Genomic DNA, 22,138 nt, shown 5'->3' with positions numbered 1-22,138 from the left:
ATGGCTCCAGGTGTCCAGCAAACACCATTTGACTGCCCAGAAAGGAAGTATTATCATAGGCTCAGAGCAGCTTTTGGTAATTTCTTTCCTCTCACACCAAGGCATTGTGTGCGCACGTGTGTGTGTGTGTGTGTGTGTGTGTGTGTTTTAATTTTTATTTTAGAGACAGGGTTTTGCTGTGTTGCTCAGGCTTGTCTTGAACTTCTGGGCTCGTGTGCTGCGATTACAGGGTGAGCCACTGCGCCTGATCAAGGCATCACCGTTGAACCTCCTAAGAGGAAAACATAAGGCTGTGCAATACCAGGAACTGGGATTCTAGGTAAAAACTTCTAGAAGGAAGCCTCGGTGCCAGAATCCGCAAACACACAGAGCACTCAGTGGTGAGCAGCACCAGTGATCCCATCAGAAGCCTGCTTTTGTCCTTTAAGGTTGCCCCAGACACCAAGGCATCAAAAGCCAGGGGATCCAGAGAAAACACAGACAGCCAAGAGAGAAACTGCGGGAAAAAGCCAAAAGGTTGAGAGCCACACCATCTAGAAGCTTCCTGCCTGTGGTGCGGCACAGGTGGGTGAGTGCACACGCACACCCCACACACTGTGCGCACATATCACAGGCGGTCAGACTTGCCAGCGTACTCGGGGGCCCGTGTGTTAAGATCACACAGCCCCCACACAGTGTACACATCTGTTTCATGTGCTGTGCCTCTGAGCGCCGCACGCAGGTGTGTAAGTGTCCCACAGGAGTTTGTTCAGTGCATAGAACAGGCATGCATACGCGACTGTTCACGTGTGTCCGTGTTTGGGTGTGGGTCTATGTGTAGTAGTGTGGCTGTATGAGGACCAGTTCCTGCAGAGCTGTGGGAAGTTAGCGACGTTACTGACTCTGTGCAGACAAAGCCCCCGAGACATGGAGCAGGTGGCCTCACTGCCCTCCCGGCTGGCTGGACCAGACCCCTCTCTGCAGGGCCTCCCACCCCAGGGGGCTGGGCAGGATGGGCACGGTACTGACCAGGGACTGCAGGATGGCGTGGTTGGTGGCGTTCATGCAGGAGTCCAGCGGGAAGGAGCACTCCCCCTCACAGTAATAGGCTGAGTAGCCTTGGGGGGCGATGACCCAGTCCTGGGGGGCAAGGGAGAAGGTGAGTCCCATCCATGTGCTCCTCCCTGAGCCTCAGGGCCCAAACCCATCCTCCAGCCCTGCAGGGCCGTCTCCCCCAAGAGGCTTGAATCCACCCAGGAACCCCCGGCGGAAAAGGCTGGGCAGGAGCTCAGGCCCAACAACCCCCATCTTCACTTTGTGTCCCCTCCCCAGCCGGCCCTCCCCAGCCGGCCCTCCCCTGCCCACACCTCCCAGAGCTGCAGTCGTAGCCAATGCAGGGAGGTCTCAGTTACCCTGCGGCAATGCTGACAGCTTAGTTGGTTGATTCAGTCTTCATTTTCATGGTTTTAAAAAAAACAAAAAACACAACAACAACAACAAAACCCTTTCTCACCATATTCTCACTTTAGAAAACTTGGAAAACACAGAAGAAAAAAATACATAAGAAAATTGAAGTCACCATGATTCTATGTCCTCCCTGCAGATTCACTTCTGATCTACAGGTGGTGATTGTCATTTCAGAAACAAGGAGAGTCAGCAATTACCAGCCAGCCAAGGTCCTGGAAGCTGACGTAGAGCTCGTGCCGACGGCAGACCTGCCGGCCGTGGGAGCCGCGGACGTCATCTGCAGGGACAGAAGGGGCAAGGTCTTTTCTGGGGTTCCTGCTGTGTGCAGCTACTATGGGGTACCAGGGTGGGGGATGCCCTGATGAGCACATTTGTCAAATAAATGAATGACAGGAAACCATTTGGTCTCATAAAGCCCATCCCTGGAACGCTGCTTGTACCATGACCCAGCTCAAAAGCCTGCCATGGCTCCCAATGGCTAGAGTGACACTGTGCCCAGTCCTCCCCTGTCCTTCAGCCTATGAGCGTCTTTATGCTCCAGTAAACAGCCCAGCAGGACCCTCGGCCATCCTGTGCCTCCTCCTCTCTGGAGACCCCTGTGACTCCAGCCCACCCTCTCCTGCCACACCCATTCCCGAGGTTCAAGTGGCTCACGACCAGGCCAGTCAAGGGCCGACTCCCTGGTGAAGGAGGGCACGGGGTTGGGTCAGGCCTGTCCCTGATCCTGAAGGGCTTGGCCCAGTTGGGGAGAAAACTCGCATAAGCAACCGAGGATCCCACAGGGTGCCCAGGCACAACCGCAGGTCATGAGGGGCTGCGGCTCCCAGGGAAGGGGCAGCTGATTCTGAAGGAGGCTCCTGAGAAAGACCCGGAGGAGCCAGGGGGAGAGAGGGAGACTTCTGGGCAGCAGGGACAGCCAGGACAGGCCTCCGGAGTGCCGGTCACCAGGGTGCATCAGGGCCAAGATGGTGTCAGGAAAGGTGGCTGGAGAGTGGCCGTCAGCTTGAACCGACCTGAGCCTGAGGGCTCTGGGCCACCACTTGGTTCTCGCCCTGCCTCTCTCAGCCAGAAGCCCACAGGGCCTCGGCCCCAGCCTGCCCGACCCTCACCAAAGATCCCTGGGAGTCGGTTGGCCTGCGGCAGCTCGTTGCTTTTCTTCGGTTGCCTCCTCCTCAGTGGCCTCACTGCCCGAGGGGTGCGGATGGGACTCGGACTGGCCCTGAAGAAAGTGACCACGAAAGGCTGTTGGGAGCGTGGGGCCCGTTGACCCAGCAGGCCGGCCAGGCCAGGATCCACGCTGTGCCCTGAGACAGAAAGGAGAGAGGGGTCACTCACGGGCAGCGGCCCTGCAGCAGACACAGCAGCGGTCTCTCTGCCGGGGCCTGGGCAGGTCCAGGAGCGTGGAGGCTGAGGACCCAAGGGGTCCTGCTGAGCCTCAGTTTCCACATCTGAAGCCTGGAGTCCTTGGTCCAGCCCCAGCCAGTCCACGTCTCTCCTGGGGACAGATTTGGAGGAGGTGGGAGGGGGTGCTCAGTGAGCTGCAGGCGGTGTTATTAGTGACAGCTGCGTCACAAATAATAACATTTGTGAAGTGTTTTACAAGTTGGAAGATTTTTCCCATGGATCACCTCATTGGGTCCTTACAGTGACCCTGCAGCTCCTACTTCACAGGAGACCCAGAGTCCTACTGCCAGTGACTCCGAGAACCAGCGCTCCCACCTTGGTCCAAGGACGCCGAGACCTGTGTTCTGTCTTCCGTCCCGCACTTTCTGGGGTGTGAATGTCAAACTTATCACCGAGACAGCTCGTGGTAGCATCTGCCAGGTTGAGCGAGTGCTTGTTCTGCTGGGCACAGCCCAAGAGCAGGGCATTAACTGTCTCCCTGATGCCCACAAGGGAGATGCCAGGCAGAGCAGAAACATTGAACCAAGTCCCAGAGCCCAGGTTGCAGCCTGCGGCAGTCTCATTCCAGAGCCCGAGTTCTTATGCACGAGCTGGGCTTATGGACAGAAAAGAAAGAAAGAAAAGGCTGAAACAGAGATCTGACTTGGGCCTCAGCCCCAGGAGGAGTGAAGCCTGTAAACGGGATTGTCCCCCACAGCCGCTTCCAGACTGAGGATGCCGCTGAAAACATGATAACTAACCCTGGAGATGCCAAGCCTCACCAATAAAACTGTGTATCATCCTGTACTTGTTTGGATTTCAATAACCTTTCTATTGTAAAAGCAATTAAGTAAAGAAACTTTTGAGGCCAGGCAAGGTGGCTCACGCTTGTAATCCCAGCACTTTGGGAGGCCGAGGTGGGAGGATTGCTTGAACCTAGGCATTTGAGACCAGCCTGGGCAACATAGTGAGACCCTGTCTCAACAAAAATATAAAAACAAAAATGAGCTGGGCATGGTGGTGAACTTCCCGGGAAGCTGAGGTGGGAGGACTGCTTGAGCCTGGGAGGTTGAGGCTGCAGTGAGGTGTGATTGTGTCACCACACTCCAGCTGGGCGACAGAATGAGAGTGTGTTTCAAGGAAAAAAAAACAAAACACAAAACTTTTTCTGGTTGTTTAAATAAGTCTCCACAATAAACATTTCAAATTTATAAAATCCCTTGGAGCAGTATACCGTAATTGACTTGATATTGGCTCATCATAGACATGTAGGTTATTTCCCGGCTTTCATGATAAAGATGGGAGTGCAATGGAGCCTCTTCACTCCGTGCATGGGTGAAATTTCCTGATACTGAATTGCAGAAGCATGATTACCAGCTCATTTTCATGTCTCTTTAAACAGTGCCAGTTGTTCAGTTTACACGAAAGTACATTTCACCTCCATGTTATAAGCACAGATGTACACACGTATGTACACACAGGCATATGTTTGCATAAACACACAGATGCACATACGCTCAGACAGACATCACACACACAGATGTATTTATTCCTACGTAGTTCTCCAGTACACCCTACAGGTCAAGGACACTGCCTGCCCCACCCTCAGTCCCACTCAAAGGTCAGCCCTTAAGCAGCTGTGCCTCAGCCCTGGTGTCCCTTGGCCACTTGACTGAACAACCAGTGAATCCAGAGACCAACCTTTGACCCGTGACATCATCCGCCACAAACAAATGCACTGGCAGGAGAGGCTCCCTCCCTCTCACGAGCATGGACAAGAGCTGCTGAGACAGGGAGGCTGTGAGCTGCAGATGCTAACATGGGAAGGAGGCCCAGAGAGAATCCACTGGGCAGGGCTTGAGTCACGGTGAGTCAAGGTTATGGGGAAGCAGCAGAAATACAAGGAACAGAGCTGGGGCACAGAGGAAAAGACAAGTGAGGTCACAACGGAGAGAGAACAGAGCAGCCTGAGTGGGGTGGTGGTGGTCACCAGCCCGGGCACTGGAGTGTCACTCTGCAGACTGGCTGACCCATGGGGACAGCCTGGGGCCCAGGGCAGCCCTCCTGGCTCCACTTGCAGCTCTGTCCTGTGACTCCCTGGGGAGCCCTGCCTGCTATGGGGCCTGAGAGGCCATCAGTCCTGCAGGCTTTCCTCACTATTTGCTTCTGTGCAGCTGTGTTCAAGGGTCTTATGGGGGGTCTCCCAGACACAGGATAGAATGTCGCATTAGATCAGTTACACCACAGACCCTCACAGAGCCCCTCTGAGCCAGGCCTGGCTTGGGTGCTGGGAACCCCTCTGTAGGTCTCACAGGCCAGGCGAGCCTTGAAACCTTGGAAGCAGCTAATCCCAGGTTCCCATTTTACAGAAGCAGAAACTAAGGCCCAGAGAGAGCAGCAACTGTCCAAGGTCCCAGAGCAAGGTGGGTCGGAGCCAGGATTGTCATATACTTTTCCAGCAAACTGCAGGGCCCAGCTGGATGTGGCTGGGCAAGATGGGGGGTGGTGAAGGGGACTAACAGTGGGTCTGGGTTCAGAGCCCTGCATCTGGCAGGCCTGGAGAAGCTCCCCCATCCCCAGCCCTCTCCTTCCAGAGCCCAGAGCCTCCCTTCTCCATCAGCTCTGCTTCTTACCCACCCATTCTTAGGCAGGACTCCCTGGCTCCAGCTGGCTGCAGGGAAGGCCAAGCAGTCAAGGTGGGGGGCTCTCAGGCTGCCCAGCTGTGGGCAGGCCCCTTCCAGAAAGGTGGAGTTGGAGGCCCAGAGGGTCACTTGTCCGCTTCTAGATACCTCAGCCTTTTCCACACTGCTCCTGGGAAACTGACGCCCAGGGCAAATCAGGTGCCCCTCTCCAGGAGCCCCAAAAGGCACCCCACTGCCCACTAGATGACATTTCATTTCAAGCCCCCAACCCCAGCCATAGTCCCTGGCCCCTTTTCCACACCCCCAGTCTGTGCCCTCCATGAGCGCCAACTCTCCCTGCCCTGCTCTCCTTCCCAGGATCTGGCCTTTCCTGCAGGGTGAGGCTCCAATGGGCCCCTGGAAAGTCTGTCCTTGACCAGTGAGAACTTACTACTCTGACCACATGCCCCCAATGGCCTGGGAACCCCCAGAGCTACACTTATGCAGTGCATGCACCAGGCCAGGCTTGGCTGTCAACAGCACGTGTGCACGCGTGCATGCGCACACACACACACACACAATCTTAATTTTAGTTTTTGAGACTATAGATTCAGGAGGAAATGCCTCGCAGCCTCTTGGGTTACAACGGACCATCACACAAGTGGCCAGTTTGGGCCTCCATCCCAGAGAGGAGGGCCTAAGTGTCTGGTGTGAATGATGCAGGAACAATTCAAATGAAGCTGAGAAAACTCATCTAGTCCCTTGGTTAGGGTTCTAGAACTCCTCCTGTCCTAGGCTGTAGCCTTTGGCCACACACAGATAGAGGAAGCTTCCTGGTGGATTTCAGGACCGGCAGCCTCTCCCCTCTCAGTCTCTCCCATCACCCGGTCCCTTCCCTTGGAGATGGTCCTGCTTTCCTTCTACGGACATCTAGAAGCTTAACATCTCATAGGTCCCAGGAGGAGAGATGTGGGAGGAGGAGGGGAGGCTTCAGGGAAACAAAATTTAACAACAAAGGCCCCAGAAGAAATACCAGATAACGGATAAAAACGTTCAAGAAGGCCGGGTGCAATGGCTCAAGCCTGTACTTTGGGAGGCCAAGGCAGGTGGATCACCTGAGGCCCAGAGTTTGAGACCAGCCTGGCCAATATGGAGAAACCCTATCTCTACTGTTAAAAATATATATACAAAAATTAGCTAGGCATGGTGGCACATGCCTGTAATCCCAGCTACTTGAGAGGCTGAGACATGAGAATTGCTTGAACCCAGGAAGCAGGGGTTGCAGTGAGCTGAGACTGGACCACTGTACTCTAGCCTAGATAACAGAGTGAGATTCTGTCTAAAAAAGAAAAAAAAATTACAGTAAGCTAAGGTTAATTGGCCCAACTCAGTGGCTCATGTCTGTAATCCCAGCACTTTGGGAGGCTGAGGCAAGTGGATCGCTTGAGCTCAAGTGTTCAAGACCAGCCTGGGCAACATGGTGAAACTCCATTTCTATAAATAAATTTAAAAAATAAAAAAAAATAAGCAGGCATTGTGATGTGCGCCTGTAGTCCCAGCTACTCAGGAGGCTGAGTTAGGATTGCTTGAGCCCAGGAGGCAGAGGTTGCAGTGAGATCACTGCATTCCATTGCATTCCAGCCTGAGTGACAGAGCCAGACCCTGCCTCAAAAAAAAAGAAAAAAGAAAGAGAAGGAAAAAGAAAAAACAAGCTCATGAAGATAGCATGTCTTCCAATCACAAACTCACATCTTTGCTCGCCTATTTCTCACTGCAGTAGTAAAATGTCCCTTCAGGTGTACTCTGGGTTGAGTGATTTTCTCCCTCGTCAGTTTTTATCTCCATTTCATGGTTCAAGTACGAGGGAGGCGCTTGAATCAAATCTTGCTGTGAATGCGCTGAGCTGTGCACGCTCTGTGTAAACATCACAGAGCAAAGCGGACATCCATTCCTCACCACTGCAGACCTGCGCCTTGCAGTGCTCGAGAAACACAGTGAGGAACTGATCTGTTTTCCTGTTGTTTTTAATTAAAGTCGCAGCTCTCTAGAGGAGCACTGTCCACCTAGGGAGGAAAGTAGGAGGCCAGTAGCAAACCCCTCCCAGAGCTGGGGACATGTATTCCCCTGGGGAACCCGGTGGCATCCGCCCTGAGGAGCGCACCACCCCGCCCAGATCCAGGTCCCGTCAGGGTACCACCTGCTGCATGGGCCTGAGGTTCGGGGACACAGCAAAGGCACACCCCGTGCTCTTTTTGATGTCGTCCACCGTCAGGCCCTCCCAGAGCTCCCTCAGCGTCAGCCTTTTCTTCCTGTGCACGTCAAACACGGCCTTCTCGGTGATGATGCGGTCCACGCACCGCTTCCCGGTCAGCGGCATGGTGCATTTCTCCATGATCTTGGGGGTGTTGTCCTTTGTGCAGTGCTGCATGGTGACCACCACTCTGGTCTTCTGACTGGACACCAAGTCCATGGCACCGCCCATGCCTTTCACCTTCTTGCCAGGGATCATCCAGTTCGCCAGGTCGCCGTATTTGGAAACCTGCATGGCTCCAAGCATGGTTAGTTGGATGTGTCCCCCTCGGATCATGGCGAAGGAGTCGTCGCTGGCGAAGAAGCAGCCCCCGGGAAGCACCGTGACCGTCTGCTTGCCTGCATTGATGAGGTCGGCATCCACCTCATCTTCCGTGGGAAACGGGCCCAGGCCCAGGATCCCGTTCTCACTGTGAAGATGGACAGTCATGCTGGGACTGATGAAGTTGCTGGCCAGCAGGGGGATGCCTATGCCCAGATTGGCGTACATGCCGTCCTCAAATTCCAGAGCTGCGCGTCTGATGATGCGCGTCCTGGCGTCCTCTTCCTTTCCAGCGTCTCCATCTTCCTCTTTCCGGATCGTTAAGCGCTCAATTCGTTTCTCGTATTTCTGCCCCTTTATCACGCGACCTACATAAATGTTAGGAACGTGGATGTCTTCTGGGGGGAAGCCCCCACCTCCACCGCCGTGACGTCTGCAGCTTTGCACATGGGCACGTTGAAATTGCGGGCGCTTCTCCTGAAGACCACGTTTCCTGCCCGGTCGGCCTTCCACCCTTTCACCAGGGCGAAGTCTGCCCGGATGGCGCGCTCCAAAAGGAAGTGGTCGCCGTTGAACTCCCTCACCTCTCGGGGCTGGCTCATGAGCGCCAGGTGGCCGTCCGGGGTGTAGCGGATGGGGGCGCCCCCTTCCTGGACCAGGGTCCCGTAGCCCGTGGGGGTGTAGAAGGCGGGCACCCCGGCGCCCCCCGCGCGGATGCGCTCGGCCAGGGTGCCCTGGGGCGTGAGCTCCAGCTCCAGCTCTCCTGCCAGGTACTGGCTCTCGCACAGGGTGTTCTCGCCCACGTAGGAACAGACGATGCGACGGACCTGCCTGGCGGCCAGCAGGAGGCCCAGGCCGAAGTCCTCCACGCCCACGTTGCTGCTGACCACCTGCAGGTCTTTCACGCGGGTCCTGAGCAGCGCGGCGATCAGGTTCTCGGGGATCCCGCAGAGCCCGAAGCCCCCGATCATGACGGTCGCCCCGTCAGAGATGTCCTTCACCATCTCCACCGGGTCCGCGTAGAACTTGGCACGGGGCCGGGGACTGGTGGCAAAGCAGCGGGCGCAGCCCTGGGACAGCGCGAGCCCTGAGCCGCCGGCGGGGACCCCGCGCCCGAGCACTGACGCCAGGAGCCGCAGCGCCGCCATAGTCGGCCCGGGTCGGAGGCCAGGACAAGTGGTGTGAGCCCTGCGTGCGCCTCGGGCCGCGCGTCACAGAGCAGGGCGGGCGCCCGCGCCCTGACGCACTCCCTCCCAGCAGGTCTCCCCGGCCAGGCGCAGGCTCTAGGCCAGGCCCGCGACCCGCAACAGGGAGGGGGCCGGCTCCGCCCTGGGCTGGGGGCCCCGAGTCAGTCCTCCGTGTCCAGCGCACAGGCCCGGGCGCAGGACAGAGCTGAGGTCAGGCTCCGCGAGTAGGGCACAGGCTAGGTCCCCTCCTGCCCCAGTGGAGCCTCAGACACAAACTCCAACCACCCCGCCCAAGCTTCCCCCCAGCTTCCCCAGCTCATTAAAGACACCAAGTGTCCAATGAGCAGGCGCCGCTGGGTGACACCGACGCTCATGAACACCTTCACTGGGCATCACTCTGTGCCAAGCACCCTCCTTTAATCCTGTGACAACCCGGAGAGTGAGTGCCTGCCCCACTACAGCCTCCCAGAGCTCAGGTTCACCCCTCACTGCGACAGTGGGGACACTATCCCTCACCTCCATCAGGAAGGGTCCCTGCTCTGAAGAGGCCCCCCGTCTTGTCCTCTGCATCCCCCCGCCCTCTCCACCTCCCCCACTCCAGCTCCCTGCTCCAACTTGTGCGGAATTTTGCAGTTTTCTTCCCTCTGCACAGAATCACTGCATCACCACAGCAGCGTGCAGGCGTCTCCTCACCTGGAAAGGACCTGCCTTGTCCCGGGTTCTCTCCAGCCCCAGCCCATGTCTCTGCTCCCCTTCCCCAGCAAAGGTTCTGGAAAGAGCTGTCTCCTGCCTCCACTGCCTGTCTCCCTCCACCTCCTCAGTCAGACCCACACTCCACGGATATTTAGGTCATCAACAACCTCTGTGATGGCAAAACCCTTGGTCACTTCTCTGTTCTTGCCTTCAGTGCCCACAGCAGGACACAAATGACAAACCCTTGCTTCTGGAAACACTTTACTCTGGCGTCTGGATCACCTCATCCTCCAGGTGTCCTGCTCCCTCCCTGGCTGGTCTCTGTGGGCTCTCTGTGGCCCCTCCTTGTGAGGTCTCTGGATGTTGGAGGTCCCAGGGCTCTGGGCCAGGCCCTCTTTCTTCTCCATCACTACCCTCCTTCCCTAGATGACCTGGTCCCATCCCATGCTTTAAATCCACTTACATGCCAGCACCTCCCTCGCCTGGGTCTTCACGCTCACCGGTCCCTGTAATGGCATTTCCATGAGGACCAGTGATCTCAGTAACATCCCAGGGGGGTCAGTAATATTCCAGCCAAAAGAGAACCCTTGGCCACCCACCTCAAACCTGCCCTTCATCTATCTTTTCCCCAAAAAGAAAAATCTATTGAAAAAAATCCACTGGCTCCAACCACACATCATTCAGGCTTCCTCCTGTTCCCTCACCTCCTCGCCAGCTATAAGCATGTCCTGACACTGAAATCGACTCATCTTTCTCCATCTCCACTGCTACCAACAAGTCACTCACAGCGCCCACCTGGACCACTGTGGGGCCCCCACACGTCTCTCTGACTTCACTCTTGTCCATCTCAGTCTGCTCTCTCCACTGAAGTCAGGGGGTTCTTTATTTTATGCATATATTAAGTTTTAATTTTACAACAGTTGATAGTTACATAAAACTTTGTAAAGATAGTACAGAGGCTAAGGTGGGAGGATCGCTCGCGCCCAGGAGTTGGAGGTTACCGTCAGCTGTGATTGCGCCACTGCACTCCAGCCTGAGCAACAGAGCCAAACCCTGTCTCAAAGAAAAAAAAACTACACAAGGAGTTCCCATACACCTGGACCCAGTTTCCTCTGGGAAATGCTAATATTTTACACTAGCAGGGTACCTTTCTCATAACTAATGAACCAATACTGATACCTTATTATTAAGTAAACACCATGATCGATCTGGATTTCATAACTTCTCCCTAATGACCTTTTGCTGGTCCAGGACTCAACCCAGGACCCCACATGCACTGAGCTGGTCTTCTTAGGTGCCTCTGGGCTCCTCCAATTTCCCAACCTTCCCTTTTTTTTGATGAGCTTGGCGGTTTTGAGAAGCGCTTGTCAGGTATTCTGCGGAAAGCCCTTCTCTTTGGGTTTGTTTGACGGTTTTCTCGTGGCTGGACTGGGGTTTCGGGTTCACGGAGGGGGCCCTCTGAGGCTCAGTGGCCTTCTCCTTCCCTTTCACCCAGGGCACATGCTAGCACCGTGCCGGTCACTGCAGTGAGCCTTCCTCACCTGGCTGAGGCGCTGCGCGTCAGGTCCCCCACGCCCTGTCCACACCGCACTTTCGGGAAGCAAGTCACTGGGTGCAGCCCACGGAAGGGGTGGGGAGCTCTGCTCCACCCCGAGAGGGGGGCATCTCAGAGGGTTCTCTTTTAAAACCTGAATCAGATCCTGTCGTCCTCCACTGCTAGTAAATAAAATAAATGACGCTAAGAACCCCAGCACCTGGCCCTGGTTTACTCTGACTCAGAATGGCCCCTGGGTCCCCCGCCCTCACCGCTGCTCCATGGCGCCCCCTTGCCGGGCCTCAAACACACCCATCTCGTGCCCACTTTGGCCTCTGTATTCCTACTGCCTGGCATAAAAGAGGCTCTCCCCAGTGTCACCTGTGGAATGAACAAGGGCGTGAATCCCCATCCTGCGGAAGAGAAGACGGGGTCTGGAAAGGTAAGTCCCAGCCAAGGTCACTGAGGCAGGGCACTGCCAAGCTGGGCTTCAAACCCAGCCTCCTGGCCTCAGTGCCTGAGGGTACAGCCACTTCCCCTCCTTCCCTTCCCAGGACAGAAACTCCCAAGGTGGAGGCTGCTCCGTGGGAAGAGCCGCCTGCTTCCTGGGAAGCAGAGGGAGAGGAGGGAGCACCCCCACTAGGCCAGACCTCGTGCCCTGGACCTCAGTGACCCTTGCAGCGGGCACAGCTGGTGAGGCCGGGCACCCAGGGCCACAGGAAGCCACTACCGCTGCCTGTGCTGGCACAGAGAAGCCCCAGGGGCTGCAGAGCCCCCAGCCTCACCGTCCTCAGTCTCCACATAGAGGCGGAGTCCCAGGTCCTTGTGACGCTTCAGCAACCAGCAGTCACTGGCTGCTGTGACATCCAGCACCAGCCAGCCCTCGTCTCCAGCTCGGAGCGTCTGAAGATCCAAAAAGAACAAGTCAGACTCCCTGTGGACATGAAAGAACAATTAACCGGCGGCCGGCACAGCTGCCTCCGTGTCTCCAGGGCCCGCTGGGGGCTGTCACCGGAGCGTCTCCCACCTGACTCTGGCTGCGCCCCTTCTGAGCCTCATCTCATTGCCTCAGCCCACAGAGGTGTACACATGGGGAAACTGAGTCTCAGTGACCTGTCCAAGTCCCCACAGCCAGGATGGCAGGGCAGGGACTTGAAGTCAGGATTGTCACTGGGGCTCTTCCCACAGTGCAGGGGCCTCGGGCCAAGCATCCTTCCCATCTTTGAGGCTCTCTTTCAGCCCACCACGACTCCCTGCTGGGCTGCCTTGACCATGAGACTGTGAGGTGGGGGGTTAGGTGGGGCACCCGGGCCAAGGGGAAGGCACCTGTTGGACTGCTCCTGGACCACCTGGAACATGCTGACGTGGAGGGTCCTGTTGAGCAGGTGGATGCTGGGCACCTTGTAAATCCGGAACTCCGCAGCTGTGACCGCCTCCCCAGCCGGGATCTGGGTCAGGTCAAAGCGGAACTCCTTCCAATGGGGCTCCTGGTGGCCCAGGGCACGGTCTCGCTCCACTAGAAGACAAAGCAGCGCTGGGCTGGCACTCAGAATGGCTCGGGCTCTGGAGGGGGCAGAGCTGGTGTGAGCCACCGCCCCCAGACACCCACCACTCAAGGTGGAGCGGACCCAGGGAGGCCTGGGTGGGGCCGGCTTCATTTTGTGCAAACGTTTGTTCCAGGCTTGGTCCCGGGGTGTAGACAGGGCCAAGAGGCCCTGCAGCCAGGCTCACCCTGAGCCCTGCACCTGGCTGGTGCTCAGCAGGCCCCAGGCTCCAAATCCTGAACTCCCGTTGCGCCCCTTCTTGGCCCGGCTGGTCCTGGGACCCAGAGATGAGACAGGAGGGAGCCTCCTCTGGGAGCTTCCAGGCTAAAGGGAAGATGGACATTGGACCCAAGGCAGAAAAGGGCCCCAGCCCTGCAGGGAAACCTGGTAGACAGGGACATAACCGACATAACCGACGGCATCTCAGGGGACATAAGCCATCCAGAGCCTGCCCGCTGCCTGGATGGGAGGTGCGGCAGGGGAGGGCTCAGGGCTGACAGCTGAGCTGGGCTGAGGCATGAGTGCGAATCTGCCATGGTGTCAGGGAGACGGGCCCTGCAGGGGCCGGCCAGCCAAGGCAGAGGGCCAGAGCAGAGGGGTCTGAGGGCAGGGCAGGGAAAGCAAGCACCAGGAAACAGCAGAGGGCAGGAGACCCACGTTTCCTTTCTGGAACAAGCTGGAAGAGGAAGAAGGGAAACGTGGAAAGGAACAAGAAAAACCAGGGCAGGAGTGACAACTCCCGGAGAGGCCAGTCAGGTGCTGGGGAAGTCGGAGGGTCTCACTGGGTGATGGGATCTGAGCAGGTGGCATCTGAACTGGCTTTGAAGGGTGGGATGGGTCTTGGTAGGTGGAGAAGGTGGCAGGGAGGGTGCTCTAGGGAGAGGGGACCTCGCATGCACAGGGTGGAGGCGCCCACAGGTCAGTGATGTTGGGGACGGCACATGAGCTCTGCTGCGGCCTGCCTGCTGAGGGTGCGAATCCCGGGCCAGGAGCCTGGGCTGCGCCTCTGGCCAGTGGGAAGCACAGGGGACGGGGGCAGCAGGGAGGCGGCGTGGGTGGAGGGGAATTAGAAGACACAGTGGAGGTGAGGGTAGAGGCCAGGCTGGAAGTGAGATGGGCAGCAGGGCCCCGTGGCAGGGGCTGGCCTGCCAATCAAACAAAGGCTGTAGTTGCGGAATAAAGCCCACATTTCCCCAGGTGTCCGGAAATATCCGGAAATACCCAGGACGCTATATTTAGGGCAGTCTCACTTTAGCCTCCCGTCCCTTTCAAACTCTAGAAATCTGTGTTTCCGGAAAGCAGGGGTGGGAGCCGCCCAGTGCCTTCCCCAAAACCCAACACTGAGATTTCAATGATATGTTTGTGAGTCTTTTTAAAAATTCTCTCTGGTTACTGGGCTCAGTGACCACAGTCAGGTTTGGAAAAGCACCAGGCTGTGCGGGCCGAGGCGGATGTGGGGAGCACTTCCTGTCCTCGTGGTGGGAACCTGGTCCAGCCAAGGGCAGGCGAACAGCTGTGCGGGGCGGGGGATGGGGCCAGACGTGTGTGGGCAGGAGGAGGTGGCCGCTCATCCCAGGCCAGGGCGGAGGAAAAATGAACTTGTCTTGTCCCACAGCACCTGAGGGTGCTGGGCATGCAGCAAAAGCTCGCCTGAGAGCCGGGCTGCTCAGATGCCGTGACACAGGCCACGATCTCTTCCCATAGGCAGAGATCACTGATGGCAGAGTTCTGGACCTCCTACCATGAATATCTACACACGTGTGCTCTCTTCCCTAACACACTCACACAACACGACTTGGGTGACAATTTCAGTGGGTTCAGGAACTGCAGATCCCCCTGTGTTACATGGCTGTGTAAGAATCCCCCATTTGCAAGACAAAATCAGTCCATGCTGTTGGCTGTCACAGGGCATGCGACAGTGATGGAGCAGCTCAGTCCCGGCTTCTCCTGTCCGCTTTCAAAGCGTGGCTCTATGTGCTTGTGCCCCAGGGCACAGCAGGGCTGCTGGGTGGGTCCTGGGGCTCAGTGGTGTCCCTGTTGGCAGACCACATGCTGACTTCATGTGGGATCTGAGGACTGAGGGAACAGCCCACAAACCCATCAGCTCTGTGGGGACGCCCGTGCTGTGGCCTCCCTCCCCGCCTGACCTGTGGGTCTACCCAGGCTGACTCAAGAGTTTTGCTCAACTGAACCGACCTGAGTTCCAAACTTCCGCGCTGTGGGCTTGTGAAATCGATAAACCACCCAGGAATTCCAGCACAGGAAACTGCCTCCCCTGGCTGTTCCAGGCAAGCCTGGAAGTTGGGAATTTTTTAGGAAAATAATGATTTTTATCAGAAACTGATAAAACTTCCTGGGGTGTGGCACTGAAATAGGCATTACTGTGACTGGGCAAAGGGAGTGCCCTTTCTTTGCTGGAGCCATGTGGGTCTGGAGCTGGCCAGTGGTTGTGCCTTTGGATAGAAAAGATATTTCTCAAAAGCTGGGGCTGAGGAAGAGCATTTGTTGGGACCCAGATTTTCCCCTGTGAAGGTTCATGGGCAGACAGCCCCTGCTTTAGCTGCTAAGAGAGCATTGAAAAGGGTAGATTCTCTGGCCAGTAACTGGGCTCCTGGTCCCAGTCCCGACCCTGTGGGCAACCTATGTGATATCAGTCTCCTTATCTGCGAAGTGGGGATTCTGTCCTTCCCACCCAGGGCTGTGAAAGGGCAGGGGCCGTGGGATAGGAGTGGCGGCCATGGCTCTGGAGGTTAACAGCTGCTTTTCCAACTTAAAGTATCAAAGTGACAATACCCAGCCAGGACCATCAGAAGACCACGTCTGAAACTCAGCAGCCATGGTGGGGAAAGGGAGACGTTCAGTTTTCTTTTTTTCTTTTTTCTTTTTTTTTTTTTTGAGACGGAGTCTTGCTCTGTCTCCCAGGCTGCAGTGCAGTGGCACGATTTCAGCTCACTGCAAGCTCCGCCTCCCGGGTTCACGCCATTCTCCTGCCTCAGCCTCCCCAGGAGCTGGGACTACAGGCGCCAGCAACCACGCCTAGCTAATTTTTTGTATTTTTAGTAGAGACAGGGTTTCACCGTGTTAGCCAGGATGGTCTCGATCTCCTGATCTTGTGATCTGCCCGCCTCGGCCTCCCAAAGTGCTGGGATTACAAGCGTGAGCCACTGCACCCGGCTAGTTTTCTTTTTTTCTAAATAAAAGTATGGAATGAGAGAAATCTATCAGTTCAACTTCTGGGTGCCTCCTTTTCACCTGCCTGATCTTTGTCAAGGCACTTAACCTTCTGGGCTCAGTGTCCACGCCTGCAAAATAACACTTTGAAACAGTGGGTCAAATGAAAACTGTGAAGAGCCAGGTTTGTTGACGGTAGTCAGTACTTGGTTATGGTCCAGCGAATGCTTCTCCCACCCTATTCGGGAGCATTTCCTTGTCAGTGAATGCCCAGCCCCCACCTTCCCATAGAACCAAGGTCTGGAATCTCCCAAAGATGCCTGGCTGAGCGGCAGCACCTCAGCAATGCCACTGGGACGGTCCCCCAGTTCTGGCTCGGACAGAAAGTACCAAATACAATCTCCTCCCATGTTCCCACACGTGGAAACGGAACCCTGACTCCTCGCTGGGCTCCTTCTGCTACCGTGGACCACCTCCGTCTGATGCTGGGAAATGGGGCATTAAAACCATGCTGGAACTGGCCAAAAGCGCTCGAGGCCTCTAGACAGGTCCTCAATATACAGCATGCAATGCCTGCTGCTGCCTCCCAGTGGCTGCTGATTTGAGGGTCCATGGAGGGAATTCATGGGAAAGGCCCAGGTTTGCACAATGTGATTTCTTGGGTTTTCCCAGTAAAATTCTGCTGCCAGTTGTAAGGTTGGGAAGTTAATTCCAGGGCTCCCTGTCAGATTCAGATAGGCTGGGGGGCCCATGAGGGAGATGCTCTCTGTCCGGCCAGTGTCCTGATCCCGATCATCTGAGATACATCCTGCCAGGAATCCTCTCTCTATGGTGGCCCTGAAAGGAGCCATTGATGTTTGGAGCAAGGTTTCTGGGCAGTACATCTAGTTCCCCCGTCTGCAAAATCTGGGACAGTGATCCTATTTTTGAGGGTCCCATAATTTCACTTTTGGGCATGAAGGAGGAGGTTCCTGACTCTGTTACCTTCTCATGATCTGAAGGCTTTATAAGAATACTGACTTTTCCTCATTCATTTTTCCTGGTCACAGCCAGGAATATGAATTAATTCATTATTCAGTACATTTTAAAGCAGTACTAATGGTGCAGAAGTCATTATTTAGGTGCAGGAGACACTGAGGTAAGCAAGATGGGGCAGCTCCTGCCCCCGTGGGGTTTACAGGCTTGCAGGGAAGTCAGATAACAAACAGGAAAGTTAACAAACAAGATTAGCCTATGTGCTAAGTGCTAGGAAGTACACAAAGAAGGGGGGCTGGGAATAATGCAGGGAGTGTGGGGGCTGCCTTATTTATGTTTTTAACTTGATTTTGAAATACTTTAGGATTATTTAGATCTAAAGAGAAGTGGCATGAACAGTGCAGAGACTTCCCATACATTCTTTCCCTGATAGCTTCCCCTAATGACAGCTTCTTACATAACCAACCTGTAGTATAAGAAAACCAGGAAATTGGGGGGGGCGCGGTGGCTCACACCTGTAATCCCAGCACTTTGGGAGGCCGAGGCGGGTGGATCATGAGGTCAGGAGTTCAAGACCAGCCTGGCCAAGATGGTGAAACCCTGTCTCTACTAAAAATACAAAAATTAGCTGGGCGTGGTGGTAGGTGCCTGTAATCCCAGCTACTCAGGAGGCTGAGGCATAGAACTGCTTGAACCTGGGAGGCAGAGGTTGCAGTGAGCCAAGATTGCGCCACTGCACTATAGCCTGGATGACAGAGTGAGACTCCGTTTCAAAAAACAAAAACAAAAACAAAAAAACCAGGAAATTGATACTGTTAACTAAATCCAGACTTTTCTCTAATTTTACTAACTGTCCTACTAATATCCTTTTTCTGTCAAGAATTCAATCTAGGACCCCATGTTATTAATACACGAATACATTTAGTGTCATTTCCCCGGGGCCCCTCCGATCTGACTGTTCCTCAGTCTTTCCTTCCCTTTCAACCTTGACACTTTTTTTTTTTTTTTTTTTTGGAGACAGGGTCTTGCTCTGTCACCCAGGCTGGAGTGCAGTGGCACAGTCACAGCTCACTGCAGCCTCAACCACCTGGGCTCAGGTGATCCTCCCACTTCAGCCTCTGGGGTAGCAGGGACCACTGGTACACCCCACCATGCCCAGCTAATTTTTTAAACAATTGTTTATTGAGACAAGGGCTCACTGTGTTGTCCAGGCTGGTCTTGAACTCCTGGGCTCAAGCAGTCCTCTTGCCTTGGCCTTCCAGAGTGCTGAGATTACAGGCATGAGCCACCATGCCTGGCCTTGATACTTTTGAAGAGTGCTGGTCAGTTATTTGTAGCATGCCCCTCAATTTGAGTTTGTCTCATGTTTTCTCATGTTTAAAATGAAGTTATGGATTTTGAAGAATACCACAGAAGTGTGTGGGGGAAAGAGAAATCAGACTGTTACTGTGTCTCTGTAGAAAAAGGAAGACATAAGAGACTCCATTTTGATCTGTACTAAGAAAAATTCTTCTGCTTTGAGATGCTGTTAATCTGTAACCCTAGCCCCAACCCTGTGCTTGCAGAAACATGTACTGTATTGACTCAGGGTTTAATGGATTTAGGGCTGTGCAGGATGTGTTTTGTTAAAAATGTGTTTGCAGGCAGTATGTTTGGTAAAAGTCATTGCCATTCTCCAGTCTTGAGTACCCAGGGACACAATGCACTGTGGAAAGCTTCAGGGACCTCTGCCCAAGAAAGTCTGGGTATTGTCCAAGGTCTCCCCGCACTGAGACAGCCTGAGATATGGCCTCATGGAAAGGGAAAGACCTGACCAACCCCAGTCTGACACCTGTAAAGGGTCTGTGCTGAGGAGGACTAGTGAAAGAGGAAGGACTCTTTGCAGTTGAGATAAGAGGAAGGCATCTGTCTCCTGCTCATCCCTGGGATTGGAATGTCGTGGTGTAAAACCCGATTGGACATTCTATTTACTGAGATAGGAGAAAACCACCTTATGGCTGGAGGTGAGACATGCTGGCGACAATACTGCTCTTTACTGCATTGAGATGTTCGTGTAAAGTCAAACATAAATCTGGCCTACATGCACATCGAGGCACGGCAACTTTCCTTAAACTTTTTTATGACACAGAGTCCTTTGCTCACATGTTTTCCTGCTGACCCTCTCCCCACCATTACCCTATAGTCCTGCCACATCCCCCTCACCGAGATGGTAGACAGTGATCAATAAATACTGAAGGAACTCAGAGACCAGTGCTGGTGCGGGTCCTCCGTATGCTGAGTGCTGCCTGGGCCCACTTTTCTTCCTCTGTACTTTGTCTCTGTGTCTTATTTCTTTTCTCAGTCTCTCATCTCCACCTTTCGAGAAATACCCACAGGTGTGGAGGGGCAGGCCCCCTTCATCTGACGCCCAATGTGGGGCTTGAACCCACGACCCTGAGATTAAGAGTCTCACACTATACCGACTGAGACATGCTGGTGGCAATACTGCTCTTTACTGCATTGAGATGTTTGTGTAAAGTCAAACATAAATCTGGCCTACATGCACATCGAGGCACAGCGCCTTTCCTTAAACTTATTTATGACACAGAGTCCTTTGCTCACATGTTTTCCTGCTGACCCTCTCCCCACCATTACCCTATAGTCCTGCCACATCCCCCTCGCTGAGATGGTAGAGATAGTGATCAATAAATACTGAGGGAACTCAGAGACCAGTGCCGGTGCAGGTCCTCCATATGCTGAGTGCCGGTCCCCTGGGCCCACTTTTCTTCCTCTATACTTTGTCTCTCTGTATCTTATTTCTTTTCTCAGTCTCTCATCTCCACCTTTCGAGAAATACCCACAGGCGTGGAGGGGCAGGCCCCCTTCAAAGTGATATGCCCTTCTCAGAGCATCAAATGGGACAATATGATACCAATCTATCTTATTACTAGTGGCGTGAAATTTGATTCCCTGGTTACGGTGGTGTCTGCCAGGTTTCTCCACTGTAATGTCACGATTTTTCATTTTGTAAATAATAAATATCGTGAGGAAAATACTTTTTTTGTTTTGTTTTGTTTTTTGAGACAGGGTCTCACTCTGCCGCCCAGGCTGGAGTCCAGTGGTGTGATTATAGCTTACTGCAGCCACAACCTTCCAAACTCAAGTGATCCTCCCACCTCAGCCTCCTGAGCAGTTAAGACTATACATGGGCCAGGTGCAGTGGCTCCTGCCTATAATCCTAGCACTTTGGGTGGCCGAGGTGAGTGGATCACAAGGTCAGGAGATCGAGACCATCCTGGCCAACATGGTGAAACCTCATCTCTACCAAAAAACAAAAAATTAGTCAGGTATAGTGGTGTGTGCCTGTAGTCCCAGCTACTCAGGAGGCTGAGGCAGGGGAATCACTTGAACCTGGGAGGTAGAGGTTGCAGTGACCCAAGATTGCACGACTGCACTCCAGCCTGGGAGAGAGCGAGACTCCATCTCAAAAAAAAAAAAAAAAAAAAAAAAAAGAAAGACTGTAAGCATAATGCCACTATGCCTGGCTAATTTATTTTTTGTAGAGATGAAATCTCACTATGTTGCCCAGACTGGTCTTGAACTCTTGGCTCACCTTGCTGGGATCATAGACATGAGCCAATAGTGATTTTCTTTCTTTTTCATTTTTTGAGACAGGGTCTCACTTGGTCACCTAGGCTGCAGTGCAGTGACGCAACTTCAACCTCCCAGGGCTCAAGGGATCCTCCCACCTCAGCCTGTCAAGTAGCTGGGACTACAGTCATGTACAGTCATGTACCACCACACCTGGCTATTTTTTTTGTATTTTTTGTAGAGATGGGGTCTTGCCATCTTGTCCAGGCTGGAATAGTGATTTTCTATTTCCTTCTTTCCTTCTACATTTATTAACTGGAATTCTTTTGAAAGGAAGACTTGTCCTTTCTTCTACAGTTATTTATTTATTTAAATATTTATTTTAAGACAGAGTCTTGCTCTGTTGCCCAGGCTGGAGTGCAATGACATGATCTTGGCTCACTGCAACCTCCGCTTCCTGGGTTCAAGTTATTGTCCTGCCTCAGCCTCCTGAGTAGTTGGGACTACAGGTGTGTACCACTACGCATGGCTAATTTTGTACTTTTTTCAGTAGAGACAAGGTTTCACCATATTGGTCAGGCTAGTCTCGAACTCCTGACCTCAGGTGATCTGCCCGCCTTGGCCTCCCAAAGTGCTGGGATTACAGGCGTGAGCCACTGTGCCCAGCCTAATTATTTATTTATATCATTATGGATTCAAGGGTATTTATTTTATTCTATGGGCTATATCCAATACTATTGTTATTTATTTCATTGCTCAAATTGTTCCAGTTTTGGCCACTGGCAGCTCCTTCAGGTTGGCTCCTGTGTCCTTCTGACTGCCCCCATCATCCTTTTCTGAGCACTTCTAACTGGCACCACAAGATGCTCTAGGTGCATCCTGGGAGTTTCCATCCCCACCCCTGGAATCAGCCATTTCTGCAAGGAGTTCTGTTTTGTTTTGTTTTGCTTTTTGGAGAGAGATTTAGAAACCAAGATTTGGGCACTGGGTTGCTCACTGTCCTGGAGTGTCAATACTTTTAGGCCCTTTCAGTGCACAGAGCTAGGAAATATATGTGTGTACATTAATGTGTGCAAAAACACACATCTGTATGTATTGGTACATATATATTTTTTATTTTAAATATCTGAGATCATACTGGCACCTCCAATTCCAGTCCAGTGTGGGGTTTCCTTTTCTTTTTTTTTTTTTTTTGAGACAGTCTCACTCTGTCGGCCAGGCTGGAGTGCAGTGGCGTGATCTCAGCTCACTGCAACCTCTGCTGCCTGGGTTCAAGCGATTCTCCTGCCTCAGCCTCCCGAGTAGCTGGGATTACAAGTGCCTGCCACTAAGCCCAGCTAACTTTTGTATTTTCAGTAGAGACAGGGTTTCACCATCTTGGCCAGGCTGGTCTTGAACTCCCGACCTCATGATCCACCCGCCTTGGCCTCCCAAAGTGCTGG

At 53.9% G+C, this 22,138-nt stretch overlaps 1 protein-coding gene and 3 pseudogenes across 14 annotated transcripts in view, besides 4 other annotated features; 1 reads left to right on the top strand and 3 right to left on the bottom strand.

Moving 5' to 3' along the window:
* Positions 1 to 1,846, top strand: part of PPIEL (peptidylprolyl isomerase E like (pseudogene)) — a 37,419-nt pseudogene extending 35,573 nt beyond the window's left edge. For 2 of the 5 annotated variants that reach the window (NR_144355.1, NR_144356.1), the window contains 3 exons: positions 230 to 319; positions 429 to 564; positions 1,621 to 1,846. The product of NR_144355.1 is annotated as a peptidylprolyl isomerase E like (pseudogene), transcript variant 3 (transcript). Of the gene's footprint in view, positions 1 to 229; positions 320 to 428; positions 569 to 1,620 lie in introns of all 5 variants that reach the window. The other 3 variants (NR_003929.2, NR_144354.1, NR_144357.1) reach the window with 2 other exon arrangements.
* The window catches only part of BMP8A (bone morphogenetic protein 8a), a 38,234-nt gene that overhangs the window by 5,744 nt on the left and 10,352 nt on the right, over positions 1 to 22,138 (bottom strand). The window contains exons 2-6 of one of the 8 annotated variants that reach the window (NM_181809.4): positions 12,763 to 12,952; positions 12,222 to 12,370; positions 2,556 to 2,750; positions 1,644 to 1,723; positions 1,009 to 1,119 (exon numbers count right to left, since the gene is read on the bottom strand). In NM_181809.4, coding sequence (NP_861525.2) covers positions 1,009 to 1,119; positions 1,644 to 1,723; positions 2,556 to 2,750; positions 12,222 to 12,370; positions 12,763 to 12,952 — 725 coding nt within the window. The other 7 variants (XR_946642.3, XR_946641.3, XR_946640.3 and 4 more) reach the window with 7 other exon arrangements.
* Positions 510 to 1,009: an enhancer, noted in NCBI's record as "H3K4me1 hESC enhancer chr1:39988789-39989288 (GRCh37/hg19 assembly coordinates)". NCBI's record gives its function as "activates a minimal SCP1, AML or CMV promoter by ChIP-STARR-seq in naive H9 embryonic stem cells {active_cell/tissue: H9 hESC(naive)}" and the evidence as "EXISTENCE:reporter gene assay evidence [ECO:0000049][PMID:30033119]".
* Positions 1,010 to 1,511: an enhancer, noted in NCBI's record as "H3K4me1 hESC enhancer chr1:39988287-39988788 (GRCh37/hg19 assembly coordinates)". NCBI's record gives its function as "activates a minimal SCP1, AML or CMV promoter by ChIP-STARR-seq in naive H9 embryonic stem cells {active_cell/tissue: H9 hESC(naive)}" and the evidence as "EXISTENCE:reporter gene assay evidence [ECO:0000049][PMID:30033119]".
* On the bottom strand, positions 7,457 to 9,260 carry OXCT2P1 (3-oxoacid CoA-transferase 2 pseudogene 1; annotated as a pseudogene). The gene has a single exon (NR_132962.1). The product of NR_132962.1 is annotated as a 3-oxoacid CoA-transferase 2 pseudogene 1 (transcript).
* Positions 9,320 to 9,409: a silencer, noted in NCBI's record as "silent region_702". NCBI's record gives its function as "represses an Ori minimal core promoter by ATAC-STARR-seq in GM12878 lymphoblastoid cells {active_cell/tissue: GM12878}" and the evidence as "EXISTENCE:reporter gene assay evidence [ECO:0000049][PMID:35858748]".
* Positions 14,507 to 14,566: an enhancer, noted in NCBI's record as "active region_811". NCBI's record gives its function as "activates an Ori minimal core promoter by ATAC-STARR-seq in GM12878 lymphoblastoid cells {active_cell/tissue: GM12878}" and the evidence as "EXISTENCE:reporter gene assay evidence [ECO:0000049][PMID:35858748]".
* Positions 19,531 to 19,603, bottom strand: TRK-CTT12-1 (tRNA-Lys (anticodon CTT) 12-1; annotated as a pseudogene).

This window comes from Homo sapiens, chromosome 1, assembly GCF_000001405.40.
Source record: "Homo sapiens chromosome 1, GRCh38.p14 Primary Assembly".
In the NCBI taxonomy this organism is placed as follows: domain Eukaryota; kingdom Metazoa; phylum Chordata; class Mammalia; order Primates; family Hominidae; genus Homo; species Homo sapiens.
This window is presented reverse-complemented; position numbering and strand designations above follow the sequence as displayed.